Raw genomic sequence first — 19,087 nt, forward strand, 5'->3', positions numbered from 1 at the left:
AATAAAATAAAATACTGAAATGGGCTTCTGAACTGTCCCTTACAAAACTTTCAAAGAAGTCTTTGTTTTCACCTTTTTTTTTTTAGACAGATTCTCTCTTTGTCACCCAGGCCGGAGTGCGGTGGCACAACCACAGCTCATTGCAGCCTTGACCTCCTGGGCTCAAGTGATCCTCCTGCCTCAGCCTCCCAAGTAGCTGGGACCACAGGCACATGCCACCATGCCCACTAATTTTCGTATTTGTTGTAGAGATGGAATTTCGCCATGTTGCCCAGGCTGGTCTCAAACTCCTGGCTCAGGCGATCCCCCTACCCAAACCTCCCAAAGTCCTGGGATCGTATGCATGAGGATGAGCCACCATGCACAGCCTAAAAGCTTTACTAAAATAAGTAAGAAAAAAACATGTTTATCAAAGCAGAAAATAGTGAAAACAATGCCAGGTGCATGTTAGTGTTATATATAAGTGTTAGTCTTCTGCTTGGCTTAAGCAAAGTTATTATATGTAGAAATAGATATATCTCTCAAATTGTGAAATATGTTTATTCTATATTCAGATTGGTCAGTTAATTTAATATTAAATTTTTCACTGAGATAAAAATACCTCGAAAGAAAATTGTTGTGGCCAGTTTTCTACCTGAAATAGAGTATTTCCTGGGTAAAGATTAAATATGACTTCCTTTCATACAAAACCATTTCAAGGAAACTAGCTTTAAAGTAGTAAGATAAAAATCATATGTGTTTTGGACCTTCTTTAGAAAGAAGATTAAGGTTACAAAGGTGGTTGAAAACTTACTCATTTGTACCACATATGTCACTGCTCATTCTTTACACTTACCTTATTATTCCACAGAACGAGAAGCAGAAGAAAAGGAAAAATCAAATGAGGCAAGTGACAGATGTTGATTTTTTTCCTCTTAACACTTATTGTTAGTGAGGTATGAATTTATATAACCCAAGTGACAGAATATATCTTTATGTTCTTATTCTTCATCTATCAAATACCTTGAAGGACTGGGTCAAAGAATCTTTGCAGTATATTCCTTTTTTCCGAGAAAAGTTACACTGTGGTCTTTCTATTTACTCTTAAGATTATACAAAAATAAATCTATCACTGATGTATCTGGGGAAGATTCTGTAATAGCATTATATCACTTACGTGCTTAGCAGTGGTTCCCTCTATATAACACTGGAAACTATTAAGAGTTTTGGTCCCCATTTCCTGTGGGCAAAACAGGTAAACTATAATGTAAATAACAAGCTACCAAACTGCAAGCATGTTAAAAGCAGGGACAGTCTTTTATCTCTTTACCCCACAGTACAAAGCAGAGTGTCAGACATATTATAGGCACTTCATAAATGTTAATAGAAAGAATGGATAAATGATTTCTGTAACATAGGGACGTTTAAAAAGAATAATTCCTCAGGAAATCTAATCACAATTTTTAAATCCCAAAAATTTTTATAGAGTTTTTAAAAATAACTTATTAATAGAGGATATTTCCATAAATGGCTTAATATCATACTGATACTTTTTTTAGAAGTAAAGTAAAATGGCAAAGTCTTTGAAAATTACTTAAAAGTGATGCCTATAACTTTAAAGGGTAGCTTTGGAGAGACTTGATAAGCTAAGCAGAGACACACATAGCATTGCTATTTTAAAAGATTTTAATTTTATAGACTACCTTTGAGATTAAAATAGTTATTTACTGTGACTCTGAAAGACAGCAAAAGATGGAATTCAAAGTGTAAAATGATAAAGGAAGAGGAAGAAAATGGTAAGGGAAGAAAACTATTTTTTGAGCCCCAGTTTATAAGCCAGACACTGCCAGACATTTAACAAAAGCTAATGTTTAATTCTCCCAAAAACCTTTTAATACACAGTCATGAATCGCTTAGCAGTGGAGGTGCATTATGAGAATTATGTGGTTACGTGATTTTATCATTGTGCAAACATAATAGAGTGTACTTACACAAACCTACGTGGTATGTGTATTTTTATTTATATTTTTTCCCCATAGAAAACCAAGTTCGCAGTACCATTACAGAATATCAGTCATTTCTGCTACCGCAATGCCAATATCAAATACGATATATCAGATTTCTGATATATGCTCCATTACAATCTTATGGGGCCATTGTCTTATATAAGGTCCATTGTTGACCAAAACATCATTATGCAGTGCATGACTGTATATTATTATTCTGCTTTTACAAATGATAAAAACTGAAATTTATTCAAAGCCATAAATCTAGTAAATTTAAAGCTTGGATTTGAACCCAGGATTTTCTAATTTCAGACACTAGCTTAAAAATCACATACATATAAGGAAATCTCAAAACATTTTTTCCTGAAAACATTATTTATTCTGGTTTCGGACATAGTGCTGATAGGGTACTAAAGTGATAGAAGATGAGATCCCTGCCTCCAAAGAGCTTGTTTGGAGATATTATTAACAGTGCCTTTTTAAAGTTCTTAGAGTGGATTTTTCTTGTGTTTATGTAGAGAAAAGTGTAGGAGCTAACTTCTTAGTGATCTTTGTCTTCTCAGGTTCTATCCTTTATTCCTTCATTCCATGAAAAATTTTTAATTTGTCTTTTGCTGGCCTTGAGTATATTTATATAGGAGTTTACATGCTGGATAGTATTGCTGTTAATATTAAAAACGGGGAAGAAGAGTAAGTAGATTGATGAACCAGTCAGTACTGTATTTAAACTTCTGTTTTAGAATAGTGTGTTTTACTATACAACCCTATTTTTTGGCAAATCAGCCTTCAGACCTATCAAATCTAAACTCTAATATAGCCATTTACCGAGAGTTTAGAGAAGAAAGCTCTGAGCAGCCCAGTATAGTAAGTTTCTATATTTTATCTTAGTCTCTTTCTTTAGAACTGTTGAGAATAATTCATATTAATCATTATTTTGTAGCCCTTTATATAAATGTACATTTACTTAACATGTTAATTTTGGCACTAAATAATCTTTTTGCTGTATTAAACTAGCTCTGAAAATACATATTTGCTCAAATAAAAACTTACGAATCAAAATAATATTAGAGGGAGAACTTAAAATATAGAAGTGTTACCTTTCAGTTAATTAGTAAAATGTAGTTTTCTTCCTTTCAGAATAATAAGTTCCTCTCCCACCCCCAGTCCCATCTCCATGTCTAATGAAAAGTCTGTCTTATACTCTTTTTTTTTAAGATTCCCACTAAAAATATCGAAGGTCAGATGACACCATACTATCCTGTGGGAATGGGAAATGGTACACCTTGTAGTTTGAAACAGAACCGGCCCAGATCAAGTACTGTGATGTACATATGTCATCCTGAATCTAAGCATGAAATTCTTTCAGTAGCTGAAGTTACAACTTGTGAATATGAAGTTGTCATTTTGACACCACTCTTGTGCAGTCATCCTAAATATAGGTAGGATGTGCATTTAATATTTTAAACATAAAATGCACACATGCTTTAAAGTGTTCTGTGCATAGCTTTAATGCTTTGTTCCTACTGAACAGGTTCAGAGCATCTCCTGTGAATGACATATTTTGTCAATCACTGCCAGGATCTCCATTTAAGCCCCTCACCCTGAGGCAGCTGGAGCAGCAGGAAGAAATACTAAGGGTGCCTTTTAGGAGAAATAAAGAGGTATGAGAATTGTCTAATGATAGCTTTTTGGTGCTTCATTTTTAAAATTTCAGAGCATATGTCAATATTTTAATGATTTCTGTAGTATAATGGTAGTAATTTATTTTACTGGCCCAACCTTTTGAATTTCATTTCTTTTCATTGATTTTAATCCTTTTCCTTATTCTAGTACTACTCAAACTATTTTAATATTCTCTTATATTCATAATTTCATAATATTTTAAAGTTTGACATCCTACTCATTATAATTTAATTTTTAGGTATTTGTCCCAGCTAACCCTCTTGAAAAATAGACTAAAACCCTATCTCTGTCTCCTGATACATTATTAATTCTTCAGCTCATTGCTGCCCTTTTAACCACTTCTCTACACTGCCTCCCCATTTTAATATATTGTCTTCCATTTTCATCTGCCTACTGGGCATAGCCATATATACATTTTTAATAATCTCACACTCATCATTTTTTTCTCTTTCATACTGACCCTTTTCTTGCCTTCTCCTGTGTTCTACCCAATTGACCAATTAGAAACCTAAGTCTTTTTTCTTACCTGTATCTCTTCATTTATCTCTAACTCTAATCATCCACTAAAAGGTATCAGTGTTATCTTCTAAAGGCTTTTTAAATCCATCCTGTCATTAGTTCAGGACTTCATTATTTCTTGGAACCAGAAACTGGTCTCTTAACACATCCCCTTTCTAATTCTTCCCACACAGCTGATAAAATGCTCTTTCTGAAATCACCCTTTGATTATGTGTTTAATCTCTTGGTAGTTAACACATACTACATCTCAGGATAGAATCATCACTCGTGTAATACAAACCCCTTTGTGGTCTGATTTCAGCCTCATCTTTCATCACCATTCCCTTCATCCCAGCTGTTTTGAACAGCTTAGAGTTTCTTAAAAGTACCGCGGAGTTTTGCTCTCTCACCCAGGCTGGAGTGCAGTGGCATGATCTCGGCTTACTGCAGTCTCCGCCTCCCTAGTTCAAGCAATTCTCCTGCCTCAGCCTTTCAAAGTGCTGGGATTACAAGCGTGCACCACCTCACCCAGCCCTACTTGACCTTCAGTATATTGTTTTCTTCTTCTCTTGCGTTGTCCCCTCCCACCCCTTCTGCTCATGAACTTCTACTTAGGCTTGAAGATGTGATTCCAATGTTACTTCCTTTGGAAATGAGCCAAAACTTCCAGTGGATTAACCCAGGAAGAGATAACTACTTCCTCTTCTGTGGTCTTGTATTTCATTCAGACCTCCATCATAGCACTTACATGGCTAAGACTGATTGTTTTACCTATGGATGTTTCATTAAACCAGAAGGCAGAAGAAACATACTTGGCTGCAAGGCTTGTTTCTTTGCTTCCTCTTGAGTACTTCTGCAAAAATATTACTGGACTCTTTGTGCATGTTGTGACCAACACTGTCATTCTGATAGGAGGAAAATGTGATTAATTCCACAGTTTAATTTGAAATGCTATATTAAAAGATTTGGGCTAGAATTCTCTTCTGGTCTTCGTTTTGATAGTGAAGTATACTGGCACATACTTAAAAGTTAGCTCAATCAAAATGCTTCATAAATCCCAGCTTTCGTTACTCTTCAAGGAAAAGATGCCAGTTTACTTCTCTTTAAATAATGTGTTTAGTCTGGGCATGGTGGCTCATGCCTATAATCCCAACACTTTGGGAGGCCGAGGCAGGAGGATTGCTTGAAGCCAGGAGTTCAATACCAGACTAGACAACTAAAACCCTGTCTCTACAAAAAAAAAAAAAAAAATTCAGCCAGTGATATAAAAGTCGTGCTAGCATATAGCTGTAGTCCCAGCTACACAGCAGGCTGAAGTAGGAGGATCACTTGAGCCCAGGAATTCAAGGTTGCACTCAACCTGGGTAAAAAGAGTGAGACCCTATCTCAAAATTAATTAATTAAATAATAGGTTTAATCTGCCAGTCAAGAAAAATTGAATTTTTTAAAGCTACAGATGATAATGCTTTAAAAATATTTAGCATAGGCCAGGCACATGGCCCACGCCTATAATTCCAGCACTTTGGGAGGCCGAGGCAGTCAGATCACTTGAGGTCAGGAGTTCAAGACCAGCCTGGCCAACCTGGCAAAACCCCATCTCTACTAAAAATACAAAAAAATTAGCCAGGCACGGTGATACACACCTGCAGTCCCAGCTACTCGGGAGGATGAGGCACAAGAATGGCTCGAACCTGGGCAGCGGAGCTTGCAGTTAGCCAAGATTGCACCACTGCACTCCAGCCTGGGCGACAAAGCGAGACTCCACCTCAACAAAAAATGAAAATAAAAAAATAAAAATACTCAGCATTTTTTTTAATTTCTAATTTTTGTGGGTACATAGCAGGTGTATATATTTATGGAGTACATGAGATATTTTACATATACTCTTTTGTTGTTGTTGTTGTTTTTGAGACAGAGTTTCACTCTTTCCCCTAAGCTGGAGTGCTGTGGTGCAATCTTGGCTCACTGTGGCGCAATCTTGGCTCACTGCAACCTCCATCTCCTGGGTTCAAGTGGTTCTTGTGCCTTGGCCTCCTGAGTAGCTGGGACTATAGGCACGTGTCACCATGCCCAGCTAATTCTTATATTTTTTTAGTAGAGACAGGGTTTTGCCATGTTGCCCAGGCGGGTCTCGAACTCCTGGCCTCAAGTGATCTGCTTACCTCGGCCTTCCACAGTGCTGGGATTACAGGCATGAGCCACCACGTGTGGCCGGGTACATGAGATATTTTGATACAGATATGCAGTGCATAATAATCACATCTTGGAGAATGAGGTAGCCATCCCCTCAAGCATTTGTCCTTTGTGTTACAAACAATCCAATGAGACTCTTTTAGTATTATTGACTATAGTCACCCTGTTGTTCTATCAAGTAGTAGGTCTTGTTCATTCTAAGAGGTTTTTTTTGTACCCATTAACCATCCCCACCTCCTTCACAACCTCCCACTACCCTTCCCAGCCTATAGTAACCATCCTTCTACTCTCTATCTCCATGCATTCAATTGTTTTGATTTTTAGATCCCGTAAATAAGTGAGAACATGGGATGTTTGTTTTTCCGTGCATGGCTTATTTCACTTAACATAATGATCTCCAATTCCATCCACGTTGTTGCAAATGACAGGATCTCTTTTTTTTTTTTTTTTTTTTTTTGAGATGGAGTCTCACTCTGTTGCCCAGGCTGGAGTGCAGTGGTGCAATCTCTGCTCACTCCAACCTCCAACTCCTGGTTTCAAGTGATTCTCCTCCAACTCCTGGTTTCAAGTGATTCTCCTGCCTCAGCCTCCTGAGTAGCTGGGATTACAGGCACCCACCACCATGCCCGGCTAATTTTTGTATTTTTAGTAGAGATGGGGTTTCACCATCTTGGGCAAGCTGGTCTCGAACTCCTGACCTCAGATGATCCACCCACCTCAGCCTCCCAAAGTACGGGATTACAGACATGAGCCACCGCACCCAGCTACAGGATCTTATTCTTATTTATTGCTGAATAGTACTCCATTGTGTATATGTACCCTTTTTTTAATTAATTTTTTTTAGTAGAGAAAGGGTCTTGCTATGTTGCCCGGGCTGGTTTCGAACTCCTGAGCTCAAGCATTCCTCCTGCCTTGGCCTCCCAAAGTGCTAGGATTACAGGTGTGAACCACTGCAGCTGGACGACCCTACATTTTCTTTATCCATTCATCTGTTGATGGACACTTAGGTTGTTTCCAAATGTTGGCTGTTGTGAACAGTGCTGCAACAAACATGGAAGTGCAGATATCTCTTCAATATACTGATTTCCTTTCTTTTGGGTATAGACCCAGCAGTGGGATTGCTGGATCTTATAATAATTCTATTTCTAGTTTTTTGAGAAAGCTCCAGACTGTTCTGTATAGTGTTTGTACTAATTTACATTCCCACCAACAGTATACAAGGGTTACCTTTCCACACATCCTTGCCAGCATTTCTTATTGCCTGTCTTTTGGATAAAAGCCGTTTTAACTGGGGTCAGATGATATCTCATTGTAGTTTTGATTTGCTTTTCTCTGATGATCAATGATGTTGATACTTAGTATCTTTAGGGTACATGTGCCATATGAAAATCTTAGGTGATACTGTAGGATGAGTAGTTAGTTAAAACTGATAATCTTTATTTCAGAATCACTTTTTCATAAATCTGTTAAACGTAACTTTTCTTTTGAAAATGTACATTTAGCATATGGTTTGCCTCTTTAGTGTGGGTCAGCCTTTCCCATACAGATAAACACTTTTTTTCTTTTATAAACAAAAATATAAATCTGGCTATCAGAGTTTTGGTTTGATGTTCTGCCTGTTATGTTAATTTAGAGATTACTGGACTATTAGGAGTCCATGTAATGAATTTTCTACTCTACTATATAAACTACCATCCTATTTTTATTAGAATAATTTTCCTTAAAAATGAAAATGGATGTTCTGTCCAGAAGAAGTAGTAATAAAGGGTCATGCTTCTATTCTTGCCACCTCTTCCCCTTATCTCAGCTGCAGGTTTCACTATGCAGCATTATTGTTTTTCTTCATTAACCTTAATAGAGGTCTCATGTATTCCCAGGTTATTAGTTTAGTCTGTTAGACCTTCACTCCTTTGAAGTAATGGCTATATTTGCCTCATTTTTAATACGCAGCACCTAAAGTAATGCCAAAATATAGTAGGCTCTGTGTGTGGAAAAAGGTATACAATAAAGTTCAGAGACTTTTCAAAAAATAAGACAGCATCTTGACAGTCCTTGTTCTTCCTAATATTGGGAGGAAGAGAGAATAAGGTCATTGCTTTCTGGAGTAACCGTCCAGTGACTCATACAAGCTGAAGTAGAAGCAAAAGAACCATAGCTGGTTAACGGTAACTGCAGCAAGTGAAAAAGGGGACATAGTATCCACCATATATTTATTGGAAACCCATATACTGTCTAATTTTTATAAATCATTCATTCATTTATAATCGGTGCACTCACTTTTTAAATTCAGGTCTACATTCATTTCTTTGCCAGTCAATACCCATTTAACCACCAGATCCTAATTTTTTAACCTCTTTAATAATAATTACCCTTTTCTCTACATCCAACCCTGTCACTCCCTTACTTTAGATTCTCTTCATCTCTCACCTGGGTTACTGTAACTCCTAACTTGACTCTCTTCCTCTAGATTTGTCCCTGCTATTCCTTCTTCCTTGCCACTGCTGAAGTAATACTTAAAAATATCATCACAGCACATCTTTGCCTAAATCCTATAAAATGATGTCCAAACCTCTCAGCATTTAGTTTTCTACCATATAGCACCTGCTTCTCTCTTTAGATTTAAATATCATACCCCCACATCTTTGGTTTTACCTCTTCCTCAAGTCTATATGCATATATACACACATAGTCACAGAACACACAGATAAACACATAAATCACAAATTATTATTCTTGTTTCAAGAATTGATTAAGAGTTTTTCTCTTTGTGAAGTCTTCATATTTCAGTTCTTGGTCAAAGCCTATTTGAGCCACCTCTTCCTCTGTGAGTCTACTGTCCTCTGTGCCCTTACTGCCTTTTTTTTCTTTGAGACAGAGTCTCACTCTGTCACCCAAGCTGGAGTGTAGTGGCGTGATCTCAGCTCACTGCAACCTCCACCTCCCAGGTTCAAGAGATTATCATGCCTCAACCTCCCGAGTAGCTGGGATTACAGGCATGCTCCTGTTACATTTTAATAATTGTAACTAATATTCATATTTATTTGAACCCAGCTCTCTTTACCCTGTTTGTTATTCTTTCTTTACCCTTAGTGACCACATTTTCCAAAACCAAATGTAGGGACACAGAGCTTAGCAAGTAGCAAAGTACTTATTAAGAATAATGAGACAAGGTTGGGCATGGTGGCTTAGGCCTGTAATCCCAGCACTTTGGGAGTCCGAGGTGGGTAGATTACTTGAGGTCAGTATGAGAACAGCCTGGCCAACATGGTGAAAGCCCATCTGTACTGAAAACAACAACAACAACAACAACAACAACAAAAAATGCCAGGCGTGGTGGCAGGCTCCTATAATCCTAGCTACTTTGGAGGCTGAGGCAGGAGAATTGCTTTAACCCAGGAAGCGGAGGTTGTGGTGAGCTGAGACCGCACCAGCGCACTCCAGCCTGGGCGACAGAGCAAGACTCCATCTCAAAAAAAAAAAAAAGAATAATGAGACAAAGTATATGAAATGGAAATTAACCCTTCATGTTTAGGATGGTCGTAACTGATAGATGGAACTAACATTTGTCTGGAGCTTTCTCTATGCTAAGTGCTGCAAAGTCCATTATCTTAAAGTGTATTAAAAGCAAGTGGACAATTTATTTTTCAAATTTTCTGCAGTTTAAAAATAATAACTTAAGCCATAACTGAAAAAAGAAATTAAGTTTGGCATGGAAACCCTTAAACGTGTGTGTTTAATTTTAGGAAGATTTGCAATCAACTAAAGAAGAGAGATTTCCAGCGATCCACAAGTCGATTGCTATTGGCTCTCAGCCAGTGCTCACTGTTGGGACAACCCACATATCCAAATTGACAGATGACCAACTCATAAAAGAGTTTCTTAGTGGTTCTTACTGCTTTCGTGGGGTGAGAAGTAAATCTTCAGTTTAAATATTTATTTTACAACTTTACCTGCCAGGTATGGTCAGTGGGCATCAGCAGCACTGAAAAGAATTTTTCTCTAGAGAAATGACAGGATCCTTTCATCCCCAAAGAACATTTTCTTTTTGCAGTCTCATACCCCCACGTTTCTGTAATCTAATCCATAGCTTTTATGTTCTGTTTATTTCACAAGGTAAAAATTTGACCTTTTGTCTGGCAATCATATGTGATTCTGGTTGATTGCTAGAATGAGCATGTGATTGTATATCCCACATTTTGGTTATGTAGCAATCACATTTCAAACTGGAATTAACATCTCCCTTTAAAAAAAAAGTTAGAGACAGGGTCTCACTGTGTTACCCAGGCTGATCTCAAACTCCTGGGCTCAAGCAATCATCCTGCCTCAGCCTCCCAAAGTGCTGGGATTACAGGCGTGAGCCACCGCACCTGGCCAACATCTCCCTTTACAAAGTTAAAAATTTTGACCCTGACTCTTAGTACTAGTGGGAAATACAGTTACTAGTGGAATTTTTGTTTTATTGTATTTAAAATTTTACCAAGACAGTGCATATTCTCTGTATTTGTCTTTAATTTCTCAGTAATGTTTTCTTTTAATATTCAACCATACTATTGCTTTTACAGGTTTTAAAAATAACATGTATTTCCATTACTGTCATGTGGCATTATTGAGAAAGGCCCAGTTCTTAACTTGATCTAATATGTTTTCTTTTTTTTTAGGGTGTCGGTTGGTGGAAATATGAATTCTGCTATGGCAAACATGTACATCAATACCATGAGGTATAGAATAGCATTTATATATCATTCTACCACTAGATGGTTTAAAGTTTAAGAATCTGTTGTAGAAAAAAAGGGGGAATGGTATAACTTTTAATTATGAGATGATTTTAATATGATTAGTATAATCAAAGTATCTCCAAATTTTGGAAAATGGAACATTTGGCATTAACCAAATCGGTAACCTTAAAGTGATATTGCTTATTAATTACTCATATGCTTCTATTACTATGAGCCTAGTAGAATAATGAGCTGTTGTGGCTATACCTCTTTTGCTTTGATCAAGAAATTAATCATTCTTACAACTTATCCTTAAATTAAGAAAATGAATTAGCCGGGAGTGGTGCCGCATGCCTGGAATCCTAGCTACTCAGGAGGCTAAGGTGGCAGGATCATTTGAGCTCGGGAGGCGGAGGAGGTTGCAGTGAGCCAAGATCACAACACAGCACTCCAGCCAGGGTAACAGAGTGAGACTCCATCTCAAAAAATAATTAAGAAAATGAGGCCGGGCACAGTGGCTCACGCCTGTATTCCCAGCACTTTGGGAGGCCAAGGTGGGCGGATCACCTGAGGTCAGGAGTTCGAGACCAGCCTGGCCAACATGGTGAAAACCCGTCTCTACTACTAAAAATACAAAAATTAGCCAGGTGCATGCCTATAATTCCATCTACTCAGGAGGCTGAGGCAGGAGAATCACTGGAACCTGGGAGGCAGAGGTTGCAGTGAGCCGAGATCACGCCACTGCATTCCAGCTTGAGCAACAGAGCGAGACTCTGTCTCAAAAAAGCGAGACTCCTCAAAAAACCAAACAAACAAAAAAAGAACGAAAATAAATGATAAGATCATACATTATCACTAGGGTTACAAAAATTGGGTAAATACAGCAAGTTTCTCAGCCAAAAGAATAAGACACCCTGGGCCAGGCATAGTGGCTCATGCCTGTAATCCAAACACTTTGGGGGGCCAAGGCAGGAGGATCACTTGAGGCCAGGAGTTCAAGAGCAGCCTGGGCAACATAGCAAAACCCCATCTCTACAAAAAATTTTAAAAATTTTAAAAAAAGAAAATACCATATCATCTAAGTTTAAAATAAGTTTTAAGATTATACTTTTTGAGTTCTTTTATTTATAATTTTATAACTCACCGTATTCTCCCATACTTGAGCCAGCCTGCTTAAATTCTGAGGTTCAAGTTCCAATTCTGTTATTTGTCCTACTTATACTTTGTTTAGTAAAGTAAGCTGCTAGGTATTGAAGACAAGCTTTAATTAATGAATATGGACCTAGCTGCTTTAAAAGGCCATTTTCGTTATCTAAAAAAGAAAATAATACCCAAAATAGAAAAGTGTATATTTGCCCACTCATAATGTTTTGAACTGATCTCAGATTCCAAGATAGATCATACTGGGACAGACTGTCAATTCACCTTCCACATTTAAATCTTCCAAAATGAATGAGGCATCCATAGACTAGGATGTGTTCGGTTTTTTTGTTTTGTTTTGTTTTGTTTTTCACTTAAACCTGAGAGGTTTCATTTAAGTATTCTTTCCATTTATTCCTGCTACTTTGCAGATGTTTGTTTTTTTAATAACAATACAGAAAAAGGATAAAGTACCATTGAACTACAACCCTTATAATACCTGATGAGTTTCTTAATTAAAGAAATGTATGCCAGAAATTTTAAATGAGAAGTATCTGTCTCCTCTGCCATCATACCACTTCTCAAAAAAGTTTAACTACTGTTAACATTTTCATAGCCTGCCACAAGAAAAAAAATGCATATATATAGATCTTGGTATAACTTTTTTATTTATAGGGAAGGTATCATGCACTGCTCTGCCACTTGTTCTTTTCACTTAGTATCTTGGAGATTGCTCCACGTCAGCAACAATCGATTTCATTCTTTTCAGCAGATACAGAGGATTATGTCTGTACCACAGTGTATTTAACCAGACCAGACCTCTGCTAATGGACCTTTAAGTTGTTTCCAGTTTTTGCTGTGATATGTTTTAGTGAACATTTTTAAATAGTTCTGTTGGTATACTTTTGTAAGTATATTCATAAGGGACATTTCTATTAACATACTTCCTTGGTCAAAGTATCTGCATACTGGAAAATTGCCTTCCAGAGTTAGACCAGTTTACACTCCCATAAACAGTGGCTACATTCCTATACACTTGCCAACACTAGGTTTTACCAAACGTATTTTAGCCAAGGTTGCATAACCTGGAACTTTCTAGGGAACTCTGTTAGGTGTTTAGAGAGATACTAAAAATAATAGTAATTAGCAAAAAGGGTGCTTACTGTATGCTAGGCACTATGTACTTTACACGTATTAATTCTTTTAATATTCATAACAACCTTAAGAAGTGGTTATTGTTATTCCAAGATGAGGAAATAGAAACAAAGGTTCAATAACTTGCCTAAAGTCAAATAGGTAGTAACTGGGGAAACTGGAATTCCAACCGAGGCAGTCTGGCTCCATATCCAACCTCTTAAAACACTTCACTTTGCTGCTCTAATTTCTGCCTATCCAGGAACTTAATCTAGTTGCTAAAAACAAATGTTGTTAGCTATCTCTTACATTAGGCACTAAGCTCCACTGGGCATTGGCCCTGCTTGTTTCCTTTGCCACCATAGGGGTTTTTTTTGTTTTGTTTTGTTTGAGACAGAGTTTTCCTCTTATTGCTCAGGCTGGAGTGCAATGGCGCAATCTTGGCTCACTGCAACCTCTGCCTCCCAGGTTCAAGTGATTCTCCTGCCTCAGCCTCCCAAGTAGCTGGGGTTACAGGCATGCGCCAGCACGCCCGGCTAATTTTGTATTTTTAGTAGAGTAGTTTCTACATGTTGGTCAGGCCGGTCTCGAACTCCCGACCTCAGGTGATTTCGCCCACCTCAGCCTCCCAAAATGGTGGGATTACAAGTGTGAGCCTCCGCGCCCCAGCCAGGGGTTTTTAATTCTACTAACCAGATATCTATTAGTGCCCAGCATGGTTGTCTGGCATACACTATGAAGAAAGAAACCAAAGGAATGCAAGGAGGTAGGAAGGATAAGGAAGAAGAAAGAAGGAAGGATTTCCACATATAAGACAGTATATAGTTAGTGTTTAAAAAATAATAAAAGCAGAATGGGAAAAGGGGTTTCTGGACAGACAGTTCCAATAGAGAAATAAGTATGGTACCAAATGAATAGTGTAAAGATCAGTATAACATTGCGTAGGATGAAGTCAGGCTGCAGTGGAAGAGATAGAGGCCAAAGATGCAATTAAGAATTGCAGTAGTATGTGATAGTATTATCTAGGTATGAGAGATTAAACTCTTGGTTGTGGGGTGAGTTGCTGGCAGTGAAAAAGTAGAGGAAGAGTCTAAAGCTGAAAAATATCCAGGAAAGAACTGATGGGACTTACCTGTAGAAGAGAAAAAGAGATAGAAGAGCCGAAAATAACTACATTTAGAGCTAGCCTTACTAAAAATTAGTTATGTTATTCAGAGAAACAAGGAATAAAGAAGATAATGTGCTTAAATTTCCACTCATTGAATTTGACTGACATCATTACACCTAAATATAGATATCCACTGTGCAGATAAAGACTAGCTTACAAGAAGGTCAGGTCATCAGCATAAATATCTACTTGATGATATCAAGCACGCATTATCACAAATTTTTTTCCCATATTAGGACAAGGATAGTGGGAAAACCTCTGTGGTTGTCGGGACATGGAACCAAGAAGAGCATATTGAATGGGCTAAGAAGAATACTGCTAGAGCTTATCATCTTCAAGACGATGGTACCCAGACAGTCAGGTAAAGATTCACTTTACTTGCCTTTGGAGCTAATTACTACAATTTCTAAAACTCAAAATATTGAAAAACATAAAAATTCAAACATTTAAGTAAAATCCCTGTTTAGTTTTTTTCAAGGGATATCTTTTAGGTTAGTTTTCTTTTCTTAGGGAAGCAACACAGTGTAATAGTTCAGAGCACAGTCCCTGGAGTCAGACTACCTGGATTCAAATGCTGGCTCATCACTTCCTACCTTGGAGAAATTACATCATCTTTTTTATCTCTCACTTTTGTTGTGTAATGGTATTTGCCTCATATGATTATTGTGTCATTTAAGAGGTAATTTATGTAAAGGAGAATGCCTGGCAATAGCATGCAATAAACCTGGGCTGCCACCCATAACAGTGGGGGTGATAACATTAATGAGAGTGGCAGTGGTGTTAGTAACTGGCTCAATTCTGTCAGAACTGAGGGTGTTTTTTAAAAACTACCTCACATCTCTTTTAGGATATATGAGTATACCTTGTCAAAACACCAGTAAGTTAATCTCATTTCCCAAGAATAACTACGCATTAGCTTTTCTTGCAGACTCTTAACTCAGTATGTTTTCAATTATTCCTTCTTGTTCCTTCTTGGGTATTACCTTTTCCTTCCTAAAACAGATGATTTGGATTGTTTTCAGAGTGTACTGACTTTTCGGGCTGATAAAAGTCAAAGTCAGCCAAATTAAAACATAGACTTTTTTTTTTTTAATACTTTAAGTTTTAGGGTACATGTGCACAATGTGCAGGTTAGTTACATATGTATACATGTGCCATGCTGGTGTGCTGCACCCATTAACTCATCATTTAGCATTAGGTATATCTCCTAAAGCTATCTTCCCCCCTCCCACAGACATTTAATTATTGTACTAAACAAATTGATTTTTCTTATCCTTGTAGGTATATGTTTTATGTGAAAACAGTTTGTGGTATCATGTACAATATATGTTGAAGAATGAGTGTTAGACTGGTAAAATGAAGCTTTTCTTTGGATCCTGCTCATTTGAGATTGACAGTTTGGCCTAGGCTTTGTCTTCTATACTACAGTGCCTAACGAACAGTATTTTAATGGGAGTAGCTTGATGGAGGACGGAAGCAAAGAACTGTTTTACAAAACAATATAGTGGGCTAGGGAAATTGATAACTTTAAAACAATTTTTTTAAAGGAATCTAACCAAAATTATTTGTATACAAATAAATAATATGCAAGTTGAAAATAATTATTAACTAAGCCAGTATGAAGTATCTCTTATATTCTCTTTATAGAATCCAAGAGAATGCCTCTGTGAGATAACCCTAAAAATATTTTTTTAAAGAATATTTTATAGTCAGGTTTTTTTTTAACTAATGCAAAACTGATCCCTCTAACCATCTTCTCACCCTACCCATTACAATTATTCTATTAGTGAGATTTTAGTTTAATAAAACTTGTGTGTTTCTCTGATTCAGGATGGTGTCACATTTTTATGGAAATGGAGATATTTGTGATATAACTGACAAACCAAGACAGGTGACTGTAAAACTAAAGTAAGTTAGACCATCAAATCATGCTGTATGCCTTTGTCTTTTAACTGCTTCCTATGGACAAAAGTTTTATGTAAACAGTATAATTATGAATAATTATGAAAGTATACCATTTAAATTATTGATAAAATTATATTAAATCATACAGGGTCCACTTGAGTGGGATTTTTAAGAGTACAGTTATTAACAGTGATCTTACTTTAAATGATTTGGACAGTACCTTAAAGTGCTCTCTGTTTTAGGTGCAAAGAATCAGATTCACCTCATGCTGTTACTGTATATATGCTAGAGCCTCACTCCTGTCAATATATTCTTGGGGTAAGTTAAAAAGAAAATAATCAAAAATTCCATTTTGAGCCATGTTTTAATTTTTTTTTCTTTTTTTTTTTTTTTTTTTTTGTTTTTTTGAGACGGAGTCTTGCTCTGTGGCTCAGGCAGAGTGCCGTGGCATAATCTTGGCTCACTGCAACCTCTGCCTCCCAGGTTCAAGCAATTCTTCTGCCTCAGCCTCCCGAGTAACTGGGATTACAGGCGCACACCACCACACCCAGCTAATTTTTGTATTTTTAGTAGAGACGGGGTTCCACCATGTTGGCCAGGCTGGTCTCAAACTCCTGACCTCAGGTGATCCACCCACCTCAGCCTCCCAAAGTGCTGGGATTACAGGTGTGAGCCACCACGCCCGGCTGCCATGTTTTAATTTTTTGCATTAAGTTTAGGAAGGACCTTCAGTAGTCTCCAAGGCTTAATATGGCCCACATACCACTCATGTAATAGTTGACATGGTTTTTCTTGACATTTTTTATTGAGATATAATTTACATGAAATAAAATCCACAGATCTTAAGTGTTGAGCTTGATAAGTTTTGACAGTTATATACACCCATGTAACTATCACCCAAAACAAGATATGTCACTGCAGAAAGTTCTATCATACTCCCTTCCAGTAAATACCCCTTAGCCTTGCTCAAAGATACCCATTTCTGATTTATGACATTGTAGATTAGTTTTGTCTCTTTTTTGGATTCCACATGAATGGAATCATATAGTGTATAATATTTCTGTACCTGAACTCTGACTCAGTGTAACACTTTTTTTTGGTGGTGTTTTGTTTAGTTGATTTTTTTTCTATTGATACATAGTATTTGTATATGTTTACAGGTTACATATGATACTTTGTTACATCCATAGAATATGTAGTGATCCAGTCAGGGTATTCAGAATATTCATCACCATAAGCATTTATTGTTTCTATGTGTTGAGAACATTTCAGGTCCTCACTTCTCAACACATCTTAACAGAGGTCTGGACATTAACTCTTTGTATTTGTATTGCACATATTTTTTTCTCTGTCTGTGGCTTGCCTATTCATTTTTCTTTCTTTCTTTTTTTTAATAGAGATAGGGTCTCACCATATTGGCCATGCTGGTCTCAAACTCCTGGACTCAAGCAATCCTCCCACCTTTGCCTCCCAAAGTGCAGGGATTATAGGCATCGGCCACTACACAGGCTGGAATGCAGTGGCGCAATCTTGGCTCACTGCAGCCTCTGCCTCCCAAGTTTAAGCAATTCTTGTGCCTCAGCCTTCCAAGTAGCTGGGACTACAAGCATGCACCACCGTGCCTGGCTGATTTTTGGGTTTTGGTTGGTTTTTTTTTTTTTTTTTTTGAAATGGAGTCTCACTCTGTCACCCAGGCTGGAGTGCAGTGGCATGATCTCGGCTCACTGCAACCTCCGCCTCCTGGGTTCAAGCGATTGTCCTGCCTCAGCCTCCCGAGTAGCTGGTATTACAGGCATATATGGTACCACGTCCGGCTAATTTTTGTATTTTTAGTAGAGACAGTGTTTCACCTTGTTGGCTAGCCTAGTCTCGAACTCCTGACCTCAAGTAATCTGCCCGCCTCGGCCTCCCAAATTGCTGGGATTATAGGTGTGAGCCACCCGCACCCAGCCCCATTTTCTTATTAATGTCTTTTGGTGAATGAAAAATTTTTATTTCATGAAATTCAATTTATCATTTATTCCTCTTTAATAGCTAACGCTTTTTGTGTTCTAAGAAATTTTTCTACCCCAAAATCATGAAAATATTCTCCTATATTTCCTTCTAAAGACTTTATGGTTCTACCTTTGATTATCTAATGCCTAAATGTGGTTTTCTCTGTATTTATCTTGCTTGGAGTTCACTAAGCTTCTTGGATTTGTGGGTTGATATATTTTATCAATTTGGGGAAATTTTTGGACATTATCTCCTCAAAGATTTATTCTGCTCCATTCTTTTTCTCCTCTATTTCTGATACTCCAATAAGACATGTTAGTATAAAATTGTTCCAGAATCTCAGACACTGCTTTATTCCCACTTTTTTTCCTTTGTTTCGATTTGGGTCATTTCTGTTAAGCTGTCTTCAAACTTGTTAATTTCTCTGCTGTGCCCAGTCCATTGAATGAATTTATCACTGATGTATTTTTTATCTCTTAACATTTCCACTTGGTTCTTTTTGTTGTTGTTGTTTTTTATTTACTTATTTTTTTTTTTTTGAGACAGAGTCTCGCTCTGTCACCCAGGCTGGAGTGCAGTAGCGCAATCTTGGCTCATTGCAACCTCCACCTCCCGGGTTCAAGTTATTCTCCTGCCTCAGCCTCCCCAGTAGCTGGGACTACAGGCATGTC

General features: G+C 37.4%; 2 protein-coding genes across 4 annotated transcripts in view; one reads left to right on the forward strand and one right to left on the reverse strand.

Moving 5' to 3' along the window:
- GPR75-ASB3 (GPR75-ASB3 readthrough) overlaps positions 1-19,087 on the reverse strand; it is a 189,675-nt gene that overhangs the window by 127,904 nt on the left and 42,684 nt on the right. The window lies entirely within an intron of this gene.
- The window catches only part of ERLEC1 (endoplasmic reticulum lectin 1), a 31,753-nt gene that overhangs the window by 11,153 nt on the left and 1,513 nt on the right, over positions 1-19,087 (forward strand). Inside the window, exons 6-13 of one of the 3 annotated variants that reach the window (NM_015701.5) lie at positions 851-885; positions 3,201-3,424; positions 3,517-3,646; positions 10,103-10,264; positions 11,018-11,077; positions 14,753-14,877; positions 16,347-16,424; positions 16,664-16,739. In NM_015701.5, the coding sequence (NP_056516.2) occupies positions 851-885; positions 3,201-3,424; positions 3,517-3,646; positions 10,103-10,264; positions 11,018-11,077; positions 14,753-14,877; positions 16,347-16,424; positions 16,664-16,739 (890 nt within the window). The remainder of the gene's footprint in view (positions 1-850; positions 886-3,200; positions 3,425-3,516; positions 3,647-10,102; positions 10,265-11,017; positions 11,078-14,752; positions 14,878-16,346; positions 16,425-16,663; positions 16,740-19,087) is intronic. The other 2 variants (NM_001127397.3, NM_001127398.3) reach the window with 2 other exon arrangements.

Source organism: Homo sapiens, chromosome 2, assembly GCF_000001405.40.
Source record: "Homo sapiens chromosome 2, GRCh38.p14 Primary Assembly".
Taxonomy (NCBI): Eukaryota; Metazoa; Chordata; class Mammalia; order Primates; family Hominidae; genus Homo; species Homo sapiens.